The sequence below is a fragment of the Homo sapiens genome, chromosome 10, assembly GCF_000001405.40.
Source record: "Homo sapiens chromosome 10, GRCh38.p14 Primary Assembly".
NCBI lineage: Eukaryota > Metazoa > Chordata > Mammalia > Primates > Hominidae > Homo > Homo sapiens.
In genome coordinates, this window is record NC_000010.11 from 52,765,093 (window position 1) to 52,785,735 (window position 20,643).

Consider the following 20,643-nt stretch of genomic DNA (forward strand, 5'->3'; position numbering starts at 1 on the left):
AATCTGAAATTAAAATCATTTCCCAACAGAAAACACCATTCCAAGATGGCTTCACTGGTGAATTTATCTAACATTAAAGTATAATTTTACACAAATTATTTTAGATAATAAGGAGCATGAGAGCACATCACAGCTCATTTTAATGAGGCTTACATAACATTGACCCCAAACCATAGCAAGTGCATTAAGGAGGGGAAAAAAAGCTAGTATCTCTCATGAACATAGGTGCAAACGTTCTAAACAAACTATTAACAAGTCCACTCCAATAATACATACACAAGATAAAATGTGACTAAATGGAGTTTATTCCATCAAAGCAAGGTTGATTTAATTTTTAAAAATCGATATGTGTTATGTATAATATCACATTATCTCATTAAAAAGCATGTATCTAGCGGCATAACTGTGTGTATTAAGACCTAAAATATAGTATCCTGATACTTTACTACACACTTTAAAGGTGTTAACTTATTTCATCATCCCCACAATTTTCATGAAATAAGAATGATTATTTTCTCTCAGCTGCAAATACATGGCTGAAACACAAAGTAACTGGCTCTAGATCATGTAGCAATTAAGTGACAGAGCTGTGAATCCAGTTTAGATAGGCCTGACTGGAGCACTTCATTATATTGTCTTTCAGGAGTCTATACCTGATCTGGTGGTCTCTGTATTGGGGTTGCTAACCAGTGCAATAAGGTAAGAAAAAAGGTAAAGCAATTGGGAAGAAGCAAGTATTGCCATATTTTCAGCTTACATGACTATGCATATACAAAATCCAGAGGAATCTACAAATTACTAGATTTAAGAAATAAACTTATTGAGTTTACTAAACATCGTAAGACTACACACAAAACTTAACTGTATTTCTGTGTACAACAATAGAAAAGAAAAAATATTTAAAATATATTATTAAAATCACTAAAACCACCAAAACAAGATATACAAGGTTTTTAAACTAAAAATGTCAAAACATAGCAATTAAGTTAAAGAAATTCTAGTTACATGAAGCGATACATGATGAACATTGATTAGAGATTCAGTAGTAAGTTGCCAGTTCTGCATAAGTTGATTGATAGACTCAATGTGGTCCCAGTAGAAACCTCATCAGGATTTTGTAGAAATTGAGAAGCTGTTTCTAATATTTATATGGAAATCTTGACTTTAAGAAGAACAAAGCTGGACTATAGTTACAACTATAAATGTACAATAATTAAGATAGTGTACTGTTTGACACAAGCATCAACAAATAGACTAGAATAGACAGCCCAGAAACAGACACACACACATACAGTTACCTAACTTACAAAAATGCACCACCCTAGTTCAGTGGAGGAAAAATGGTCTTTCCTACATAGTGCTGTCTCAAGTGGATATCTATTCTACCAGGAATAGATAGAATGTTTATTAATAAAACTATTAGAAAAAAATGGAAAAATATCTTCATGATTTCAAAATCATGAAAAATCTCTTCATGGTTTCAAAATCATGAAAAATATCTTATGATTTTGGGATGGGCAAAAATTTCTTAAACATGACACAAAAAGCACTAATTTTGAAAGAAAATATGAATAAATAAGACTTTCTCAAAATTAGGAAATTTTGTTCATCAAAATTCAACATTAGGAGCAAGTCAAAAACTAGCAAAATATTTGTAATACACATTAAAAAGGACATATTCAGAATGTAAAAATAACTTAAAAATCAGTAAGAAAAATATTGGCTAACTAATTTAAACAAAATACAAAAATGTGAACGGGTACTTCACAAAAGAAGATACCCAAGTGCCCAATAAGCATATAAAAAAGTGTTCAACCTTATTACATGTTGGGGAAATACAGATTAAAACCATGGGGAAATATCACTTTACATCCACAGGAATAATGAAAATCAAGAGAACTGAAAACATTGACTTTTTACAAGCACATAGAGCATCTAGGACTGCCACACATTGCCGGTAGGAGCATAAATTCATACAATCACTTAGGAAAACTGGTAATATCTACTAAAGCTGAATACATGCTTTCCTCATCCTCTACCAGTTCCACTCCTGGATAGGTAGTGAAATTAGTGCACCATGTCCACCAAAAGACAAGTCCAGGAATGTTCGTGGGTTCTCTTCCTCATGGCCAAAAATTGGAAGCCACTTAAGTGCCTATTAACAATAGAATGGATGAACTGAGGAATATTAATATAAGGGAACCCTACATGGCAATGAAAAGGATGAAACTTTTGTACACATGACATGAATGAATCTCACAGACTTAATTCTGAGTAAACAAGACATACAACATTACACACAATATGATTCCAACTATACAATGTTTATAAACAGACGAAATTACTGTGCAGTCATGGAGGTCAGAATAGTATTTTCCTAGGAGTTAGTACTAGGAGGAGTTATAACGGGGCTTCTAGGGAGTCAAAAATGTCCCATATCTTAATCTAGAAAGTGAGTATATAGGTATGTATGTGTGTGAGAATTTGTGAAGCTGTTTGCTTGAGATTTGTTATTTATGTTCTTTACATGGTTTAATATCTCATTAGAAAGAAAACAGAGTTCATAGAGAAAGTTACAAAATAGATTTTCTTAATACCTGAAACTTGGTAAAAAGCTGTGGTATTAAACTGTGGTGATGTCATTAGGGGAGCCCTCTACCCAAACAGAAAGGAAGGCTCAACAGAGCACAGGTGTTTGTTGTAAATGGAAAAATAAATCCGTCTTATTTTCATACTGCAGCAAGTTAACACTATCGAAAGCATTACAGATTAATTAAACTAGATAATTAATGTAGGATGCAAAAGATAGGGCCTCATAGTATATATTAAAAATATTATATAATTAGCATGACTACTACTGCTGCTGCTAACTACTACTACTACTATTATTGCTTTGTTGGTGCTGTTAGTGATCATTTTTAGTGATTGCCCACAAAAGGAACAATACTGGATATGAGGAAATTGATATAATTTATCTTTTCAAGCATACTGTGGGCCTGTGGGTTGCAGTAAAAAGACAAGGAGGGCCTGAGTGATATGACCCTTCAGATAGGGAACTCACAGACGGCCAGATGGGAGGTGGAGCAGGGGACGTCATTCCACTGGCCATTTTTCAGTAGCAATACACAATCTTCATCAGAACCAGCATTGTTGGGTTCACCCTCGTTCCAGTTTGTGTAGGTCAGTCTATTTCCTGTCAGATCCACAAACTGCCCTTCTGTCTTCTCATCAGTGATGCCCAGGAAGGCTTCCTCCTTGATGAGATTCTGAATGGCTCCATTCTCTGCAGCATTCCTGGGGGTGGCCACAGAGGCCTGGAACTTGACACACAAGGCCTTCACTTTTTCAAAGGTCATTATTTCACCATTGGTCAGGAAGAACTTGTTCCCAACTTGTTTGCCCAGAGAGAAGGTGAGCCCTAAAATGTGAAAAAGTGGGTGAAACTGACTCATCCTTAAGCCCAACTCAAGGTATTTCTCAAGAAAAAGTCTTCTAGAGTACAGTTGCCGGATAAAATATAGTATGTCCAGTTAAATTTGAATTTCAGACAAACAATGAATATTTTAGTATATCTCCCATATAATTTTTCAGACACACTTATACTAAAAATGTTTTTCAGCTGAAATCCAATTTAACTGGTGCTTTGTCTTTTTATTTGTTAAATATGGCAACCCAAATGTGAACAGACAGACTGGTACAAAGGCCTCTCTGTGCTTTCAGATCAGAATTCTAAAAGACATATAATTTGGACTTCTGAATTCTAAATTGTTAACTTGAGACCAAACAAAAAATGTCTGAAAATATTTGCCCCAGGCAGGTTAGACCCCACGGCCAGGTCTCAATACCAGTGCAACAAAGGGATATAAGTCCCATTTTCAGTGAGCAATATCAGACGGTAAAGGATTAGGGTCTCTCGAGTCAGACTGACTTCCATCTATAAACCACCCCTGCCATTTATTAGCTCTGTGCATTTGAACAAGTAATTTAACTTCCCTTTGCCTCCATTTCTACCAAAATGTTGTGAGAATTTCATGAGGTAAGAATATGAGAAATGCCTAGCAGGGTACAGAAAATTATATGCATTCAACAAATATTTGTTGCATTCTATTTTTCCCAAACTTCAAGCTGCCTGGAGAGTAAGAGAAAAAGCTTACACTTTTTGATACGTGCCATTTCTGTTTGCAGAGCTTTTCTTTCTGAGGCAGCCAGGCTACTATCACCATCTAGAAAATTAGAACAAAGTAAAGAAGCATTGTTGAGAAGGAGCCTCAGAACTGTGCATATACAAGGGAGTGGAGTATCTTTTTCAAACTGAAAAAAAAAGCTTATTTTACATTGATGTTTACACTTTGAAGGAAAATAAAAAATACTGAAAAGCCCAAAGAATGAAAAATCGCTATTTCCATCCAACCCCAAATGTCCCTCTTTGTCTGTTTACTGTATCCCAAAGTACGCATACATATCACATGCACACATATACTCCCTGATTACCTAGCAATCCATATGCCAGGTTCTTCACAGATTTTTTTTTCAAATAAATTGTTCTATCAAAACTAAAAAGAAATCTCTTGAGGCGTTACTCTATTATGACCTGGTGAAGAGTGACGAAAAAGATTGCAGAGTTTTTGTCTTTGGAGAGGTTTTGCTTTTGATGTCTTTTGTTTTGTTTTTGTTTTTTCCAGGTTTGTTCTGTTAGTCAGGAAACCAAGATTTTTGTGAGTTGCCCATTATCCAAGTGGGGAGGGCATGAGCAAATCACTTGTTGTAGTAGATGGCAAAAATGGCCTCAATAGGGTACAGCTCCTCGCATTAAGACATGAGTCTATTACCCCACTCCTTGAATCTGGGCTGGCCTTGTGACTTGTTTTGACCAATACAGTCTGACAGAAATGATAATGTGCTCTGAGTCTTCAAGAAGCCTAAAGCCTATCTTATTTCTACTCTTGGGAATCCTGTAATCACTGCTATGTGAACAAGCCCTGTTGGATGATGAGAGATGTGGTTCAATTACCCTCATCACTCCAGCTAACATTCAGACAACAGCCAGACACATGAGTGAGACTATTGGCCATCAGTTGACCACAGACATGTGGGTAAGCCCAGCTTAAACCAGCAGAGAAATCACATGGCCGACCCACAGACTTGTGATTTAAATTGACGGCTATGTTTTTAAGCTATTAAGCTTTGGCTTGGTTTCTTATGAAGTAAAATATGACATACCATGGTTACATGCTTTTGTAAAAATAGGTATAATAAGCCCACACTTAGATGGCCTGTTTTCTCCCTCTAGGACCAGGGCCTCACATTAGACTGTTTCAGCTGATGGAGAATCCAGGCTCAGCTCTTACAGGGAGTGCCTGATGAGGGAGTTGTCTTGAAAAGTTTGTAAGTCTGTACTCAGGCACTTATAGGAATTCCCTAAGGCTCTAAGAATGAAGAGAGGGCTGAGGGCACTGGGTCAGAAAGCAAATTTGGGTATCTTCCTTTGAAGGAACAGGAGAAGGGGCACCTCTTACCAGATACTCAAGGTCTCAGAACCCTGGGTGAAGTCAGCTCAGACCTTGCTGGGGTCCTTACCCGGACTTTTTCCAGGGTCTCCTTTTTGGCCCTTTGGTCCTGGTGACCCAGAAGGCCCTGGATTTCCTGGAGGCCCCAACTTTCCAGGGGGGCCCTGTAAGCCTCTGAGCCCTTGGCCTGTTGGAAGACAAAGGAAATGTGACTTAATATCTATGTTCTTGCTCTCTCTCTTCAAGAGTTTGATGCCCAATCCCTTCTCAGGAGAAAGGAGACCTTGACCCAGGACTGACCTTTCTGAGCACTGCTCTCAATAACTGTATGGTGGGCACCTGAGAGCAATAACTTAAGAAATAAAGTTGCCACGTGGAGGTTGCTGCAGGGAGGGTGCAAAGTGAAAATTAACTGCATTTGTTTTTACCAGTAGTTGTTGTTCTCCTGTCCAGCCCACTGCTGCTGGATCTCCCTGTAAACAGATTCCCCCAGTAAAACCTATGTTTGTTTGCTGACTCCATCTCTTCTTTGGCCTCTTGAACCTGGTGCCATCCCTACTGAAGTGAATAGGGGTCTGACATGACAATGACCCAGAGAAGAAAAATTCATCCTGTGTCCCACGGGATGGCCTGACCTGTGGGCCACTTTCCTGGGCTGGCAAGACAACTATTAGTCACAAACTGCTGTGTGGAATTCTGAGATGCCAGAGAATGAGAGCTGAATCTCTGTTTTGAGTTACAGTATAGTTGAGAAAAATATACTCAAATAGGACATCAGTCTCCTCATATCCCCAGGCAGTTTCCTCTGGAAGGTAAAGAATTGCAGAGACAGAACAGCCCAACACGTACCTGGTTCCCCCTTTTCTCCCTTGGTGCCATCACGCCCATCTTTGCCTGGGAAGCCGTTGATGCCTGGAGAGCTACAGGCAATCACTGCAGGGCAGGTCTTTTGGGCATCCTCACAGGTCACAGTTTCTGAGTAAGACGCTGCCACCATACTCAGGAGAAGGAGAGGGAGTGATGGAAACAGGGACATGGTCCTCACCTTGGTGTGAGAAAACTCAGGGAAGGTTAATCTCAGTTAATGAACACATATTTACCGAGCATGCCCTCTGTCCTACAATCTGGGTGCAGGCTATATAGAAATAGATGACCCATCCCTGGCCTCTAGCTGGGGATTTGGAAAAGTAAACATTCCTTGTGACACTGCGTGACTAGTACTTTAACAAAGGTAGGCACTATGATGAGCAGTGGGGATCCTAAGGAGGGGTTCATCTGTGCCTAGACACCTGGCGTTGCTGCTGGAAGACTATAAACATGCTTTCGGTGGCAGTGAGAACAAATGGGACCGTGCATTGCCAGCTGGCTTATGCCTGTTAGCTTAGGGAATGAGAATGAGTGGAAACCCAGGTGTCTGTAGGAGCTTCCTCTTTCTCTCCATGTCCTCTTCGGGTCCATCTGCCACCTGAATCCCATCTTTGTATCTGGGCAGCTGATTCCCCTCCAGGACCTGTTAACTATCATTTACTCATTGGCAGGCCCTGAGCTGAAAGCTGGTGATCCAAAGAGGAAGGTCTCAACCTCAGATCAACCTCAACCTTAGTCACCAACCCAGCCCAGAATTAACTGGAGTTTGCTTCCCCTTGGTGTTTTAGACAGGCTTGCCTGGGTAAGCATTTTCTCTGGAAATTTCTTACTACGTTGGCCCTGGCAGAGTGCTAAATACCTCTCTACTTTCTGGCAGGAATTCCCCATGTTCTGTGAGTCAAAAACCACTGGCAATTAGAAAACTTGCCTTGAATCCTCCTCCCATTTCTCAGTATTAACCTTTCATTTGTTCTTCAGAGCTTTCTTCCAGCTATTGCCCCCTAAGAAACCTCAGCAGCCTAGCCCCATAGGTCTAAGCCTCCAAGTTTCCCTTTGAAAACAAAGACAGTCTCCACTGCAGATGAACAGATAATGGAGGAAAGTCACAGATGCTCCAGCACAAGCAGAAAAAGAGACATCCTCAACCTGATTTCTGCTTTCCATCCCACTCCCCCCACCCCTAGAAAGCCTCCTCCATGCCTCCAGGGTCATGTCAGCTCCCCAAACCCTTGATCCGGAAACCCAGATTTATTCACCAGAAATGACTTACTGGTGTTTCTGCAGAGCAGGGACTCAGTGACAAGGACGCTGGCCCTCTAGCCTGGGGCTCTGGCAGATGCCTCAGAGTGAGGGAGGAGGCTGGGCTCAGCAATGTAGGGCCCAATCAACCTTGTGAACAAGGATATCCTGGGCCTGGCCTTCAACTCCAGATTAATAAACAGCTCTTCTCAGAACTATGAGAAATTTAGGAGCCTCCAATACAGTGCTCGGCAGCTGTCTGCTTTAATACAGCACAATTCCTCTTTCAATTGCCATCCATTTTGGCAAATCTCATTGCTGAACTACCACAGCTAGGTTCACCTAGTTAGTCCTGTTGACATCCTTGTTTCCAACAGAAAAACAAAGATACTCACAAATGCATACACATGCTCATGCACACCAACTATACACACAGACACGTGCATGCACGCACACACCCATCCATGAAACCACATAGACCTCTTGCTGCCATTAATGCATTAAGGCCATTCCTGCCTCAGACTCTTCATTTGATGTCTCCATGCCTGGACCCCTTACGGGCATCGCCAGCTAGCTCTTTCTCTTCTATTCAAATATTCCAATTTCAGAGAAATCAGTACCTTGATCACTTATTCTAAAATAGTCCTACCTAGCAGTCTCTATCCTCTTAGCCTGAATTATTTTCTCTCATGTTACTTACACTTTATGATATTATAGTCATTGACTTTACTTTTCCAGTTTTTCATTGTGGTAAAATAGACATAAAATTTACCATTTTGACCATTATTATTAAGCACACAACTCAGTAGCATTAAGTACATTCACACGGTTGTGCTATCATCACCACATCATGGGATGATTTTCATCATCCCAAACTGAAACTCTCAACTCATTAAACTAGAATTCTCCATTTACCCCTACCCACAGCCACTGGTAACTTCTGTTTTACTTTCTGTCTCTCTGAATTCATCTATCCTAGGTACCTCATATATGTGAAATCATACAATAGCCCCCTTGTATCTGGCTTATTTCACTTAGCACAATGTCTTCAAATTTCATCCTCATAACAAGAATTGTAAACTGTGTTAAAGACTTTGGGTTTCCTTCCAGGGGGCACTAGAGGGACTGCAGTAGTGGAGAGGTGATCACATTTGAATTTTGCAAGGCTTGTTCTGGCTATGATGTTGAGGGGAACAGGACTGGAGAAAAGCAGATCTAAAAGGAAGTGCTTGCCATGATCTAAGCAGCAGAAGACAGTGGCCTGGGTCAGGGTAATGGCAGCTAGATTAAGAAGGTAGGCACACTTGAGAAACAGGAGGTATTGATTGCACTTGAGAATTAGCTAGAATAGTGAGTGATAATAAGAAGTTTTCATGGGCACACACATTTATGACTTGACTATCTAGGAGCCACTCAACTGAGATAAGAAGCAAAAGAACAGCACTTGGCACTATAAGATCATGGGTATCGTGTGTGTTAATGGCTTGAACCATCTTGCTGTGGTTAATGGGGACAATCTAGAAGGGATGGAAGAATACTTTTACGAACATAGTTCATTTGATTCTCAACTACATTACTGATATGGCTTTCAGAAAAATGCCATGTAGCTTGGGGTGTTGGGGAGCCCATCCTGAGAAGTTCAGAGGCTGCGGGGCCATGTGGTGGGGGTACTATGGAGGCCTCCAAACACCAAAAGAAATGTGAGTAAGATGCATTTCCAGGTCCCTTCCAATTGAAGTCTTCTTGGCTTGTGGAGGGACTGGCTTCCTTACTTCCTGCTGACCTGTCTGCTGTGCCTGGAAAAATGTCCAGGATGGTACAGAGCCACATGCCTAAAGCCATCAGTGGATATCAGGAGATCCAGGGCCTAAAGAAGACAGGGCCTGAGAAGACTTGTTTCCCTTCTTATTCTTTAGCAGCCAGAGCTTCCCCCTGCTCCTGCTCCAGTGGCAGAAGGTGAGGTGAGGTAGTTGACTCCAGGTCACTGGCGGTGCTGGCTTTAATCACAGTGCTTGCTTTCATTGTTTACCTAGTCCAGAGGTCAGGAAACTGCTCTCCAGACCCTGAAATTTCCTAGAACTGGGTTCAGAGGGTGTGGGTATCTGGGGGAAAGTCAATCTAGCAATTGATCCGGAGATTGGAGTGTCACCCAGTTACATCCTGCTCTCCAGAAGGCCTTTCCCAAAAGGAGAGGCCACTCTCCACATGCCGCAGCCTGAATGTCTCTCTCCACACGAATGCCCACTCTGCACTCCACCCCATAGATAAGGCCACTGTGTGCATTTGTTCTGGACTTTAAAACCCTTCCCAGCCAGGCGTGGTGGCTCACTCCTGTAATCCCAGCACCTTGGGAGGCCGAGGCGGGCGGATCATGAGGTCAGGAGATTGAGACCATCCTGGCTAACACAGTGAAACCCCATCTCTACTAAAAAATACAAAAAAAAAAAAAACAACAAACTAGCCGGGCGTGGTGGCGGGTGCCTGTAATCCCAGCTACCCAGGAGGCTGAGGCAGGAGAATGGAGTGAGCCCGGGAGGCGGAGCTTGCAGTGAGCTGAGATTGCACCACTGCGCTCCAGCCTGGGCGACAGAGCCTCTCCGTCTAAAAAAAAAAAAAACTTTCCACTTTCCTAACACTGCTTCCATTCTGGCAGCGCCACAACAAATCCACCTCACCCCAAGAGGCTGCAGAGAAAACTGCCTCTCTGACCTGCAGGAGGACTGCCTGGTGCCCTACATCCCCTTTTTTGTAGACTAGGGTGAAATCCCAGCTCTCCCACTTCCCAACAGTGTGACCTTATTCAAGTTCCACTGCCTTCATGTCCTCAGTTTCCTCGTCTGGGAAAGAGGGCACCGCTGCCTTGGCTGTGGAGTGGTGTGTCCTTAACTGGTCCACATTCAGAGTGCATGGCACGTGGCTCACCATGACAGCCTGCTTAAGAAAGGCCTTCATTCCCTCCAGGGTGACTGTTCAAGAGTCTTCTCAGCTTGGGAAGCAGTGTTCTTGGGTGGCTCCATGTGAGAGGCATGGTTTGAGATTGGAAACCAGAAGGCTTGGTTTTGTCTCATGAATATGAGCTTAGATAGACCCCATATTCTGGCCGAACCTCAGTTTTACATCTTTCAAATCAGATTTTGAACCTCATTCCCTTTTCCACAGAGCTGCTGTGAGTAGGACAATAGCAATGAGAATGTTATTGCTCTCCAAGTGAGGACCATCAGGAATATGCTTATAGTCAGATAAAATGGATTTATTATTTTTAGTTTCTTTTAACTGTTTGTTCCAACAGGGATATTGAGCACAATGGTGTACCCTAGGATTTCTCAGTAACAGGGTGTCGGGAGGGGATTTCTATAAGACTTGTTTTGTTTTAGTTGGTTTTGGGGGAAGGGGTTTAAGAAGCAGGAGTCTGTTCTGGATAGGGTGCTGTCCGTAAGCTGGGCAATTCTGTGATTGTGCATCTTAACTTTTATTTAGGAGATAAGTAGAACAGAGCAAGGCGAAGCTGTATTTTGTAAAAGAGTGGCAGATGTTTATATTAAGCAGGAGAGGGGCATGTTTTTCGTTTTTGTGGTTCACAGAGCAACCTTTTCTGTCTATATGAAGACATGATTTTGGAATGATTTGGGATCTCACAACAGAGTAATATTGTTGTACACCGGTATTCTGTGGAAGTGTTTAGGGTCAGCAGGGAATACCATGGTCTGGCCATGAGAGACAGGCTGTGAGAGACAGCTGACAGCGGTAGGCTGCTTTCTTGTTGTCAGCAGTGTCCTTTGTAACCCTAAGGCCTGACCTTCCCATACTTTTCATCCTGTACTGTCCTGTGTTCCAGTCCTGCTATTTTTTCTTTGCTTGTTTTTGCTCATGAACTCTCTGAGAATGTGTAAATGTCACAGGCCTTCTTTTTAACCAACACAAATACACAGGCGCACTGCATCTGGCAAGGACTACCTTAGGCCCCTATAGCCATGGGGTGGGTGGTCAGAGGGTGTCATATCTGCCCATGTGATAGAGACATGCTTATCTGTGACATGGCCTTGAACACAGGGTGGCTGCAGTGAAAGGCAGCTCAGTAGTTAGGATAGCAAAGACCTGCTCTTTTGCCACAGAAATCAGAACACATGTGGCTTTCAGACTCTCCTCAGACATTCCTTACTGCCATTCTTCCTTCTGCCCCTTCACTCCCAGGCCTGGTATATTCCTTCCACCAGCGTCCTCCCTCTGGGGCAGCTTCCCTCTCTAAAAAAAAAAAACAAGAATTTCCTAGTGGGTGACCATCATTGATAGGTTTCTGGGGCCAGGGACACTTCTTGTCCAGGCCCATTCTCTGCCTCTGCTTTGGCTCACCTGGTGACCTAGAGCAGCATGTGTCAGAGGTGACCAGACAGGCTACACCCCCAAAAGGAGGTTGCTCACTGCTAAGATAAAGAGCAGGCTGAGAGGGGCACGATCAGCACAATGGAAAGATAAGGACCAGAAGCACACACTACTGGCTGCAAAATTATTGGAAAGGAATACCAGTAATTTAAAATAAGTATAATCAATATCCATAGAAAAATCAGTGAAGATACTGCCCACATGACACAAGCAAGAGGCAGTAGAAAAGCAATGAAGTAGAAATATTAACATGGACATTAGCCATTAGAATAATAAACACGATAGAAAGTGCAAACCATCAGGGTGCATATTGCTGAAGAACACACGGAGAAACTGCAAGAGCAGAGCAAAGGACTCTTGCAGGACTGGGAAACTGGAGAGATGGAAGTCAGGGGGTTAGAAACAGGAGATTTGGCGTATTAAAGACAAACAAGCAAAGCTTTCTGACACACAAAACGGAGTTGGAGAGATGGTACTCCTGCATCTAAACCAACCAGTCCCACAGATACCAGCAAGGAGGAGTGGAAGAGACAGAGATGGCAGCTCCCCAGGCCTGAAACTGGGAACATAGGGAGGATACCGCAGAGAGGTGCTCACCTTTCGAGGCTTACCAAAAGCCATGGCACAGTGAGTGCTTGGGCTCTAACCAATTAGATCACCAAACCGCCTTCCCTGTGATGGTTAAAAATCTAGATATTTAGGGTAGGATCAGAAATGTAGGGAGTTGGGCAGAAACACTCTTCTTCCCAACACCATCTCACTTGATTCTTGTGATTAGCTGCATGTAAGAGCCAAGCCTGGGTACAACAGGGAAAAAATCATAAGTGACCCCAAAGAGCTTCCAATATCATGAGGCAGCTTTCCTGGTACCCTTCCTGCTCTTTTCTACCTTCCTGGGACCAGAGACACAGAAAGCTCAGATGTAGATTAATGATAGATTAATTGCATTATTAACGGATTAATTGCATCATTAATTTACCTAAGATCCCACACTGTACGCTTCGACAAAAATTCACCCTGTATGTATCCATGTGTGTGCGTGTGCATGCACTTGTGTACATATACTTGTGTATGTGCTTGGGAGAGGGGGAGTATCTGAATGGGAGTCTGTGCCATTTCTTAAAGTCTGTCTCCCCACCTGTGATTAAATGAGCTCACCTGTAGCTTTGCGAGGATGAAAAGGTTTAGCACTCTGGAGCCAATCAGGAAACAGACATCACACAGTGATCTAAACAGGGGTAGTTTAATATAAAGAATTATTAAACCCTGATTAAAAAGTATAGAATGTAAGACATTCTGTATGGTTCAGACCTCACTGGAGAAAGGGTAGTTGAACCCACTGGGTGGCTGTGCTAATTTTTTGGGCCAGAGCTTCTCTGCAGTTCTGGGACAAGCAGGCATCAGCCCCCCTCCGGAGCACAGGTGGGCCAGGCAAGCCGCAGGTCCTGGCCGCAGTGGTCGCGCCGCGGGAGTGGGTCGTAGGTGCAACAGGCGGCCCGGAGCGCGGTGTCCCTGTTGGGAGGGGCACCGCTTCCCTAAGATTGCGGGAGACACACCTGGGGGAAGAGGGAGGGACGAGCAGAGGCAGCACAACAGAGGTGCAGGCAGGAGGCTTCGTGCCTCGGTGTCCCTGTCGCGAGGGCTGCAGGGGGTTGGTGGCGAGGCCAGGGCGCAACTGCAAGCCCCCGGATTCGCGGCCAGACTGCGCATTCCAACCGCGGTGCCCCCAGATGTTCCCACCCGCCAGGCCGACTCCCGAGGGGGCCTCCCGAAACTGCAGGAGCCCCCTTCTTCTTGCCATGTCTCTCTAGCGCCCTCTACTGAGAAGCTTTGCATCGTGCTCACTCGAAAAACGCTGAAAGGAATTCTGTGGTTTAATCACAGAGCATGTTTTGAAGGGTAAATTGGGAGCTGAGAGTCCTTTGATGCCTGGCACAGTAGGTGTGTCCGCATCGTCGTGCACACGGTAAGTCCACAGGCCCTGTGTGCTCCCTTTGTCTGCAGCTGTGACATCAAGGGTCCCTCCAGCCCGGCCTCGCGGCAAAGCTGAGCAGCAAAGGAAGGCAGAGGGGTGGGCCTTGCCGGCTTTGGGCCCAGAGGCTGGAGGCTGGGCTCCCTCTTTCTTCCCTTCCTCCTTTCCTCTTTCCCTCCTTCCTTTCTTCCTTGCTTCTCCCTCCTCCCCTCCCTGCCTCCCTCCTCCCATCTCTGTCTCCCTCTTCCCCTCCCTGCTTCCCTCCTCCCCACCTTCCCTCCCTCTTCCCCTCCTTCCCTCCCTCTTCCCCTCCTTCCCTCCCTCTTCCCCTCCTTCCCTCCCTCTTCCCCTCCTTCCCTCCCTCCTCAAGCACAACACATCCACATCGGCCCCCAGCCCAGCGCAGCTTTAAGAGACCCACTTACCTCAGAGGAACCCAATCAATCCCCACAAACACCTCTCTAGAATAGGAAGATGGAGATACAGGTGAGTCTGTCCTGGACAGAAAAGTAGAGACCCTGGAGGAGAGTGCGTTGAATTGATTGAGAGTGAACTGCCTATTGAATTGGAGGTGGGGGACGGTCGGGGAGGGTTAAGGGAGACCTTCTCTTCCAGAAGGGCCAAGGAAAGGCTGGTTCCACAGGGCTGGCTGGGCTACAGACCAGCTGCCTCTCCCCTCTGCATACAGTTGGGTACCCAGTCACCAGACCCCCCAAGTGAGGGGGTCAGGAAGGTGTCACGGACAGATGTACACATATCTCATTTTCATTCCACTCCATCCTGACCTGAGGGTTGTGACTTAGACAAGCGCCCTCATCTTGTTGAGCCTCAGTTATTCAGCTGTAAATGGGCGGAAGGAGAGCATTTAGTAATGGTAAATATGTAAGAGTGCTAATCGGGAAGCTCTACCCACTGAGAAAACAAGAAAAAAAATTCTTGGCGCTGAAAGAGGACCAAGAAGGATTGCTTTCTGAGATAGGTGCGGACAGACACACGCAGACCTAGAATAACGAGGTCAGACTCACCCAGGAATACTTGGCCCCAAGTTGACTCCCCTGTTTAAAGAGCGATAGAATGGTGGAGAGGGAGGATTGTCTTCTCAGGCGGCTCTGTATGGCCTCCAGGGGCCATGGTGAGGGATGGGGGTATCCTGGCCCTGAAGGCCCAGGGCACTTGAGGGAAGAACAAACTTTGCTGTGTCCCACAGGGAAAGTATGGGTCAGCCCTGCCATCTTGTGGCCATGCTTAGGACTGCAGGGGGCCAAGGGATACCCTGAGAGATCAGAGTACATTTCAAGGAGAAAGAAAAGCATTGCAAATGTTAGGTGTAGTAAAGATCTTGGCATTTGAAAGACTAAATCCAGACTCGGGTCTCTGGAACTTCCCAGGGTGCCAGGCATCTCGCAAATAGTAGTGCTGTCTCTCCTCTCCTCCCTTTCCAAGATGTGAGCTCTGGGCTGCAGATTCTGGGCCTGGATTCTGGTCTCCTCGTTCTGGGAGCTGCTCTCTGGGCTGACCCCAGGGCCTTGATCTAATTTTTTTCTTTGAAACTTGAGTTCTAAATTTGGGGTCTGGTCCCTGTCCTGACTGTCTAGCCTCAGTCCATCTATCTCTGGGCTTGGTTGTTTGAGATCATGGCTGAAGGTTAGGAGATCAGAGCTCCTGGTCTCTGCTCTGGTCTCTGAACTTAGACCTCGGGAATCAGGACACCAAGCCCTTGGTCATGGCTCATGCTACGTGGATGAACTCTGGGCTCCATTTGACTTTGTGGTCTCTACCCTCTGGATAGGCAGGAGTCTATGTTGTAAGCCCTGAACAACCAGTCACTGGATCTGCTCCAGGTCAGGTGGCTCTGGGGTCTGCTGGCTGGTGCTTCATTTGAGGCTACTCCTCCTCGAGGTTGTTGCTCTGGGCTGTGGGGTTAGGATTTTAGCCAGATTCTTCATGCCAGGCTGGAAACACAGGTAGCAGGTCTTGCATCTTGTAAAGGATAAAAGAGGCTCTTGCAGATACACAGGGAGCTGGGCCTGCCTGGACACTTCCTCCTCAGGAACTGCCCTAGGAAACATGGACCTGGCCAAAGATTTGTCCTGGGAGGATTGAGGGCCCACAGGCACATCCTGAAGAGATGCAGAAACTTGCCCATCCCTGATGTCTCAAGCCAGCCCAGATATAAACACAGAAATGGAGACAGACAACTTCAGACATTGGACTGTGAGATGAGGAGAGAGGGTCGGGCTCACTGTGGTCATCCTATCCTGTATCTTTCACACTGCCTGAAACATGGGACCACAGCAAACATTTGTTAATCAATAAAAGCAATGAGCTATGAGAGAAAAATTAGAAAGATGTAGAAGGACAAAGGGAGGGAGAAGGAACAGGCATTTGTTGACTAACTGATATGTGCTTCTGTGTGCTAGTTGCTTTATAGGTAATACCTCACTTAATTCACACAACGCCTTGAGTTGGTATACAGTATGTCATCTGTGTTGAGGTGACAAGGCCCTTCCCAGGTTCCACGATTCACTAGGAGGACTCCTGGGACTCAGCCTATAGTCATACCCATGGCTATAATTTATTTACTTATTTATTTATATGAGACGGAGTCTTACTCTATTGCCCAGGCTGGAGTGCAGTGGCACAATCATGGCTCACTGCAACCTCTGCCTCCCGGGTTCAAGCAGTTCTCATGCCTCAGCCTCGCAAATAGCTGGGATTACAGACATGTGCCACCACACCTGGCTATTTTTTGTATTTTTAGTAGAGACAGGGTTTCACCATGTAGGTCAAGCTGGTCTCAGACTCCTGACCTCAGTGATCCACCCGCTTTGGCCTTCCAAAGTGCTGGGATTACAGGCATGAGTCACTGCACCCAGCTATGGCTATAATTTATTATAGTGAAAAGATGCAAAGCAAAATCAGCAAAGGGAAAAAGGTGCAGGAGGTGAAGTCTGGAGGAAACCAATTGCAAGCTTCCAAGAGTCCTCTTTCAGTGGAACCACAGAGGGTATGCTTAATTCCTCCAGCAACAGACTCTGACAACATATGTGTAATATTATGTACGAGTGAAGCTCATTAGAGACTGAGTGTCCAAAGTTTTTATTGGATGTTGGTCACTTTCTGCCTAGCATGCACCAAAATTCCGGACTCCTAGAAGGAAAAGAGGTGTTTAGCATAAATCATATTGTTTGTATAACAGTTTAGGTACAGTGAGCCACTCTTGTAAGTTCTGGGAATGGTGGGAACTCTTGAGAAATACAAGCTCCCAGACTTCAGCCAAAGGCCAACCTTGCAAGTAGGCCTCTAAAAATAATAGTCTCGGGCCTACTGTGTGCAATTTTTCTTCACCTTGAGTATGACTGGTACTCTGCCTTTGGACTGTGAACCCAGTGTCTCCTCACCAGAGGGTGTCCTCTCATCAACAGCCTCCAGGGTGTCAGTTTGAAGAAATCACAGAAGGAGGGCTGGACCCTGTGGGGGCCTGGAAGGAAGATAAATTTGGGGAAGATTAATATTTAAAGGTTTGAAAAAACCCACCAAGGCTAACCAAAAGTGCTTAAGACCTGCAGAATCTGTATGAATCTTAGCACTGGATATCCCCCTGTGATGTGGGGTGCAGGGTCAGACCCAAGCACTTTACAGACTGTATGGCATTTAATCTCTCCAGGCATCCTGTGGGTGTCAGAGTAAATGTCCCCATTTCTCAGATGAGGGAAGAACTGCAAATACAACCCAAAGTCTGCTAGCCTTTAAAGCCATTATTTGCTCCTCAGTCCAATCAATATTCTGTGTGACCATGGCTCCAACTGACAACATCTGCCTTTTTATGTCATCACTAGAGTGTGACTGGTCCACTGTGAGTTCCTAAACTCCCCTCACATCCTTTTCTTGCAGAAAACCTCCGCTTCCGCCTTCCCAGGCCTACTGCTCTGCCTTTGTTCTTTCACTTCTTCAACATGGCAAACTCTGTTCCTGCTTCTGCCTCAGTGCAGTCTGGCCCACTGCCTGGGATGCTATACCTTCTTCTTTCTCATGGTTTCTTTCCCCTACTACAGGACACACATATCTCAGAATGGTGGATGATTTGTGAGTATTTCGTGTTCCTCCACCAGAGGTAAACTCTTGAGGACTGGCAACCACTCTGTAACACATGAAATGTCAACCTATGATCAGAGAATATGAAAATCCAGAAGTGCTTGGTATTCTGGGCAAATTGAGCTCTGTGAATAATATAGAATTGCATTCGCATCCTAGTCAACCATGGGATAAGAGAAGCCTCAATGTTCAGACCAAGGACAATCAGTGTCTGATCCTAAAAGAAAGATACAGGCTCTAGAAAAAGAAATCTAATTCATCACAACACAAGTGGAAGATGCCAAGACACACATGCTTGAACCTATCACAGAAAACTGAAAAAATTCTCATCATTTCCATACAGAGATCCAGCACTTGTGTGAAGAGTAAGTTCAAGTTTCTGCAGGATTGTTAGCGCAAAACCGAAGAACTGGCAGCCTCCCTGGGAGAGGAGAACATTGGTGATAATGTCCAATCAGAGAATGGAGATCATGTTGAAACTAGGCAAAAGGATCCTAGAGGAAACTGAAGGGTTTTGTAGGGAAGTTGGACGTTTAAACATTGAAAATAGAGGAAAATTCAATCTATGCCAACGTTGCTGAAGAAGAGTACAGAAAAGCTGAACGGACAAGTCCTCTGAAAGGGGCTCAAACTGAAGAAGCTGAATGAAAAGGTCAGATCCGCATCTTAGAGGAGAGAGGAAATGAAATGAGTGAACTCTATCAGCAGAAAGAAATGGAGTCTGTGTCTCAGTTATTACCTGTCAGGGTAGATTATGACTAACAGAAAGAGGTGGGAAGTTTTGAAGCCAAAGACCTGGTGAGTCGTAAAAATGAACTAGAGATCTACAGAATAGATTGTAAGATATCAAAGAAAAGCTGGAAATACCATTTCTTCTTCTCAGGGACAGATTCTGTCCTTAGAACTAAAAGTTAATGGTAATTGGTTGAGAGCTTGGGAGGCTGAACAAAATCTCATCCTCACCAGACAGGAGGTTGCAGATCTGAGGTAAAGAATAAGGGAAAGATAAATTCAACTCCAGCTTCTGGCAGTGGATCCTCTTGTATTTGTTGATTGTGATGGAACATTTGGCTGGGAGCATTTGCTTCTCAGCCCATAGGCATGGGATGCCGCTTCGTCTGGGATGGAACGGCTCCATGCCCCTCTGCTCAGCTTCCAGGATGTCCTGTACCTTCACTTTACCTTTCAGAAAGAAGAAAGGTGTTTGTCTCAATACATTTTAGTTGATTTAGAGAATGGCTGTCCTAGTCAGTCTGGGCTGCTATAACAGAAAAACACGGACTGGGTGACTTAAACAACAGACAATTATTTCTCACAGTTCTTGGGGCTGGGAAGTATAAAAACAAGGCACTGGCAGTCTGATGTTTGGTAAGGGCACTGCTCTTGGTTTGCAGAAGGCCATTTTGTCATTGTATCCTCATATAGTGGAGACAGAAAGAGATTATCTCTTTCTTGTCTCTTCTTATAAGGGCACTAATCCCCTTGTTCAGGGCTCCACCCTTATGATCTAATTACTTGCCAAAGGCCCCATCTCCTAATACTATCACCTTGGGAATTTAGGCTTCAACATATGAATTTTAGGCAGACACAAACATTCAGTACATAGCAATGGCTTAACCCCCAGAATTCACTAGAGGGAGAAGTGTGTGTAGTGATGACTCCAGCAGGGCCCAGAGAACTCTGATCCCATGCAGGTCTGGTGCCCTGGATGCTCTGGCTTTGCAGGGTCCTGAGTGGGGCTGGATGAGGCTCAGCTGTGAAAGCCACAGGAAGGTAGCTCTGGCTGTGATTCCTCAGCTTTGCCTTCCTTACAAGGGGGACCAGACCCTTAGGGTCACCAGGCTCTTCATCTGGCTTTGTGGGACTGCCCCAGTGGCACCCCCACTTCACAATGCTGTCTCAGGCTGCAAGTGCTGAGACCTGTCATTTGAACACCGGGGTGTCTGGAAGCCAGGTGACAGAGTGTGATGTGATTTAGTGGTGCCTACATGCTCATGTGAGGCAGATCAACCTCGTCCTCAGAAATGATACAGGAACTGGGAAGACAGTAGAGAAACTTTGCCTTTGGGAGAGGAAGAAGTTGCTAGGCTCCCAGGTCTTGACTCCTGCCTTATAGTTTGATGGACCAGCTTGAGCAGTCCCAGGACCTTGGGCAGTGGCTGAAGTATTTCTGATTAGAGGAAAAGGTTAGGGTTGTCAAGGAAGCTGTTCTGAATGAGTACACTGTGGGTGGGACCTACTGACATTTGCACTGGGCTGTCGAACTTTCAGGCTGGGTCACCTGGAGTCGGTGATACTCCTTTACTGGGCCCCAAGATTCTCTCCAGTAAAATGGCTTCCTTAACATAGGAATTGCCTCTCAGGGTTCTTGGAATGTTACAACAAAGGTGACGTGTTAAGGATGGGCCCCAGCATGTGCTCAGCTTGGTCATCATTCATAGTAAGGATTCCTCATGGATGCAGGGCTGAGCTGGGCCTATGAGGACAAGCAGGACTGGGTCTGACAGTGGGGGCATAGAGGAGCAGGGTGGCCTGAGATGGAGGCAGCATGAGACCTCACCCTGTTCCTATCAGATCGGCCAG

At 44.9% G+C, this 20,643-nt stretch overlaps 1 protein-coding gene and 2 long non-coding RNA genes across 5 annotated transcripts in view; 1 reads left to right on the plus strand and 2 right to left on the minus strand.

Annotated features, from left to right (window-relative positions):
• MBL2 (mannose binding lectin 2) lies at nt 288–7,692 on the minus strand. 3 transcript variants are annotated; one of them, NM_001378373.1, is made up of 5 exons: nt 7,645–7,692; nt 6,357–6,552; nt 5,578–5,694; nt 4,155–4,223; nt 288–3,418 (listed from the first exon to the last, which is right to left on the minus strand). In NM_001378373.1, exons 2-5 carry the CDS (start codon nt 6,541–6,543, stop codon nt 3,045–3,047), a joined length of 747 nt encoding a protein of 248 aa, NP_001365302.1. In that variant the 5' UTR covers nt 6,544–6,552; nt 7,645–7,692; the 3' UTR covers nt 288–3,044. The 3 variants fall into 3 exon arrangements, with proteins under 3 accessions (NP_001365302.1, NP_001365303.1, NP_000233.1); NM_001378374.1 differs by having other exon boundaries at nt 6,357–6,567; NM_000242.3 differs by lacking the exon at nt 7,645–7,692 and having other exon boundaries at nt 6,357–6,560.
• The window catches only part of LOC105378306 (uncharacterized), a 33,317-nt gene continuing 26,739 nt past the window's right edge, over nt 14,066–20,643 (plus strand). The window contains exon 1 of the long non-coding RNA XR_945963.2: nt 14,066–14,451. This is a non-coding gene — a long non-coding RNA (uncharacterized LOC105378306). The remainder of the gene's footprint in view (nt 14,452–20,643) is intronic.
• The window catches only part of LOC105378307 (uncharacterized), a 28,825-nt gene continuing 25,230 nt past the window's right edge, over nt 17,049–20,643 (minus strand). Inside the window, exons 3-4 of the long non-coding RNA XR_945965.3 lie at nt 19,024–19,242; nt 17,049–17,446 (exon numbers count right to left, since the gene is read on the minus strand). This is a non-coding gene — a long non-coding RNA (uncharacterized LOC105378307). The remainder of the gene's footprint in view (nt 17,447–19,023; nt 19,243–20,643) is intronic.

Coding starts and splice junctions, on each gene's coding strand:
- MBL2 (NM_001378373.1), bottom strand. CDS start 6,543: ATGTCCCTGTTTCCATCACTCCCTCTCCTTCTCCTGAGTATGGTGGCA. Junction 5,695..6,356: donor GGGAGAAAAGGGGGAACCAG/GTACGTGTTGGG, acceptor GTCTTCCAACAG/GCCAAGGGCTCAGAGGCTTA. Junction 3,419..4,154: donor AATGGCACGTATCAAAAAGT/GTAAGCTTTTTC, acceptor TTCACATTTTAG/GGCTCACCTTCTCTCTGGGC.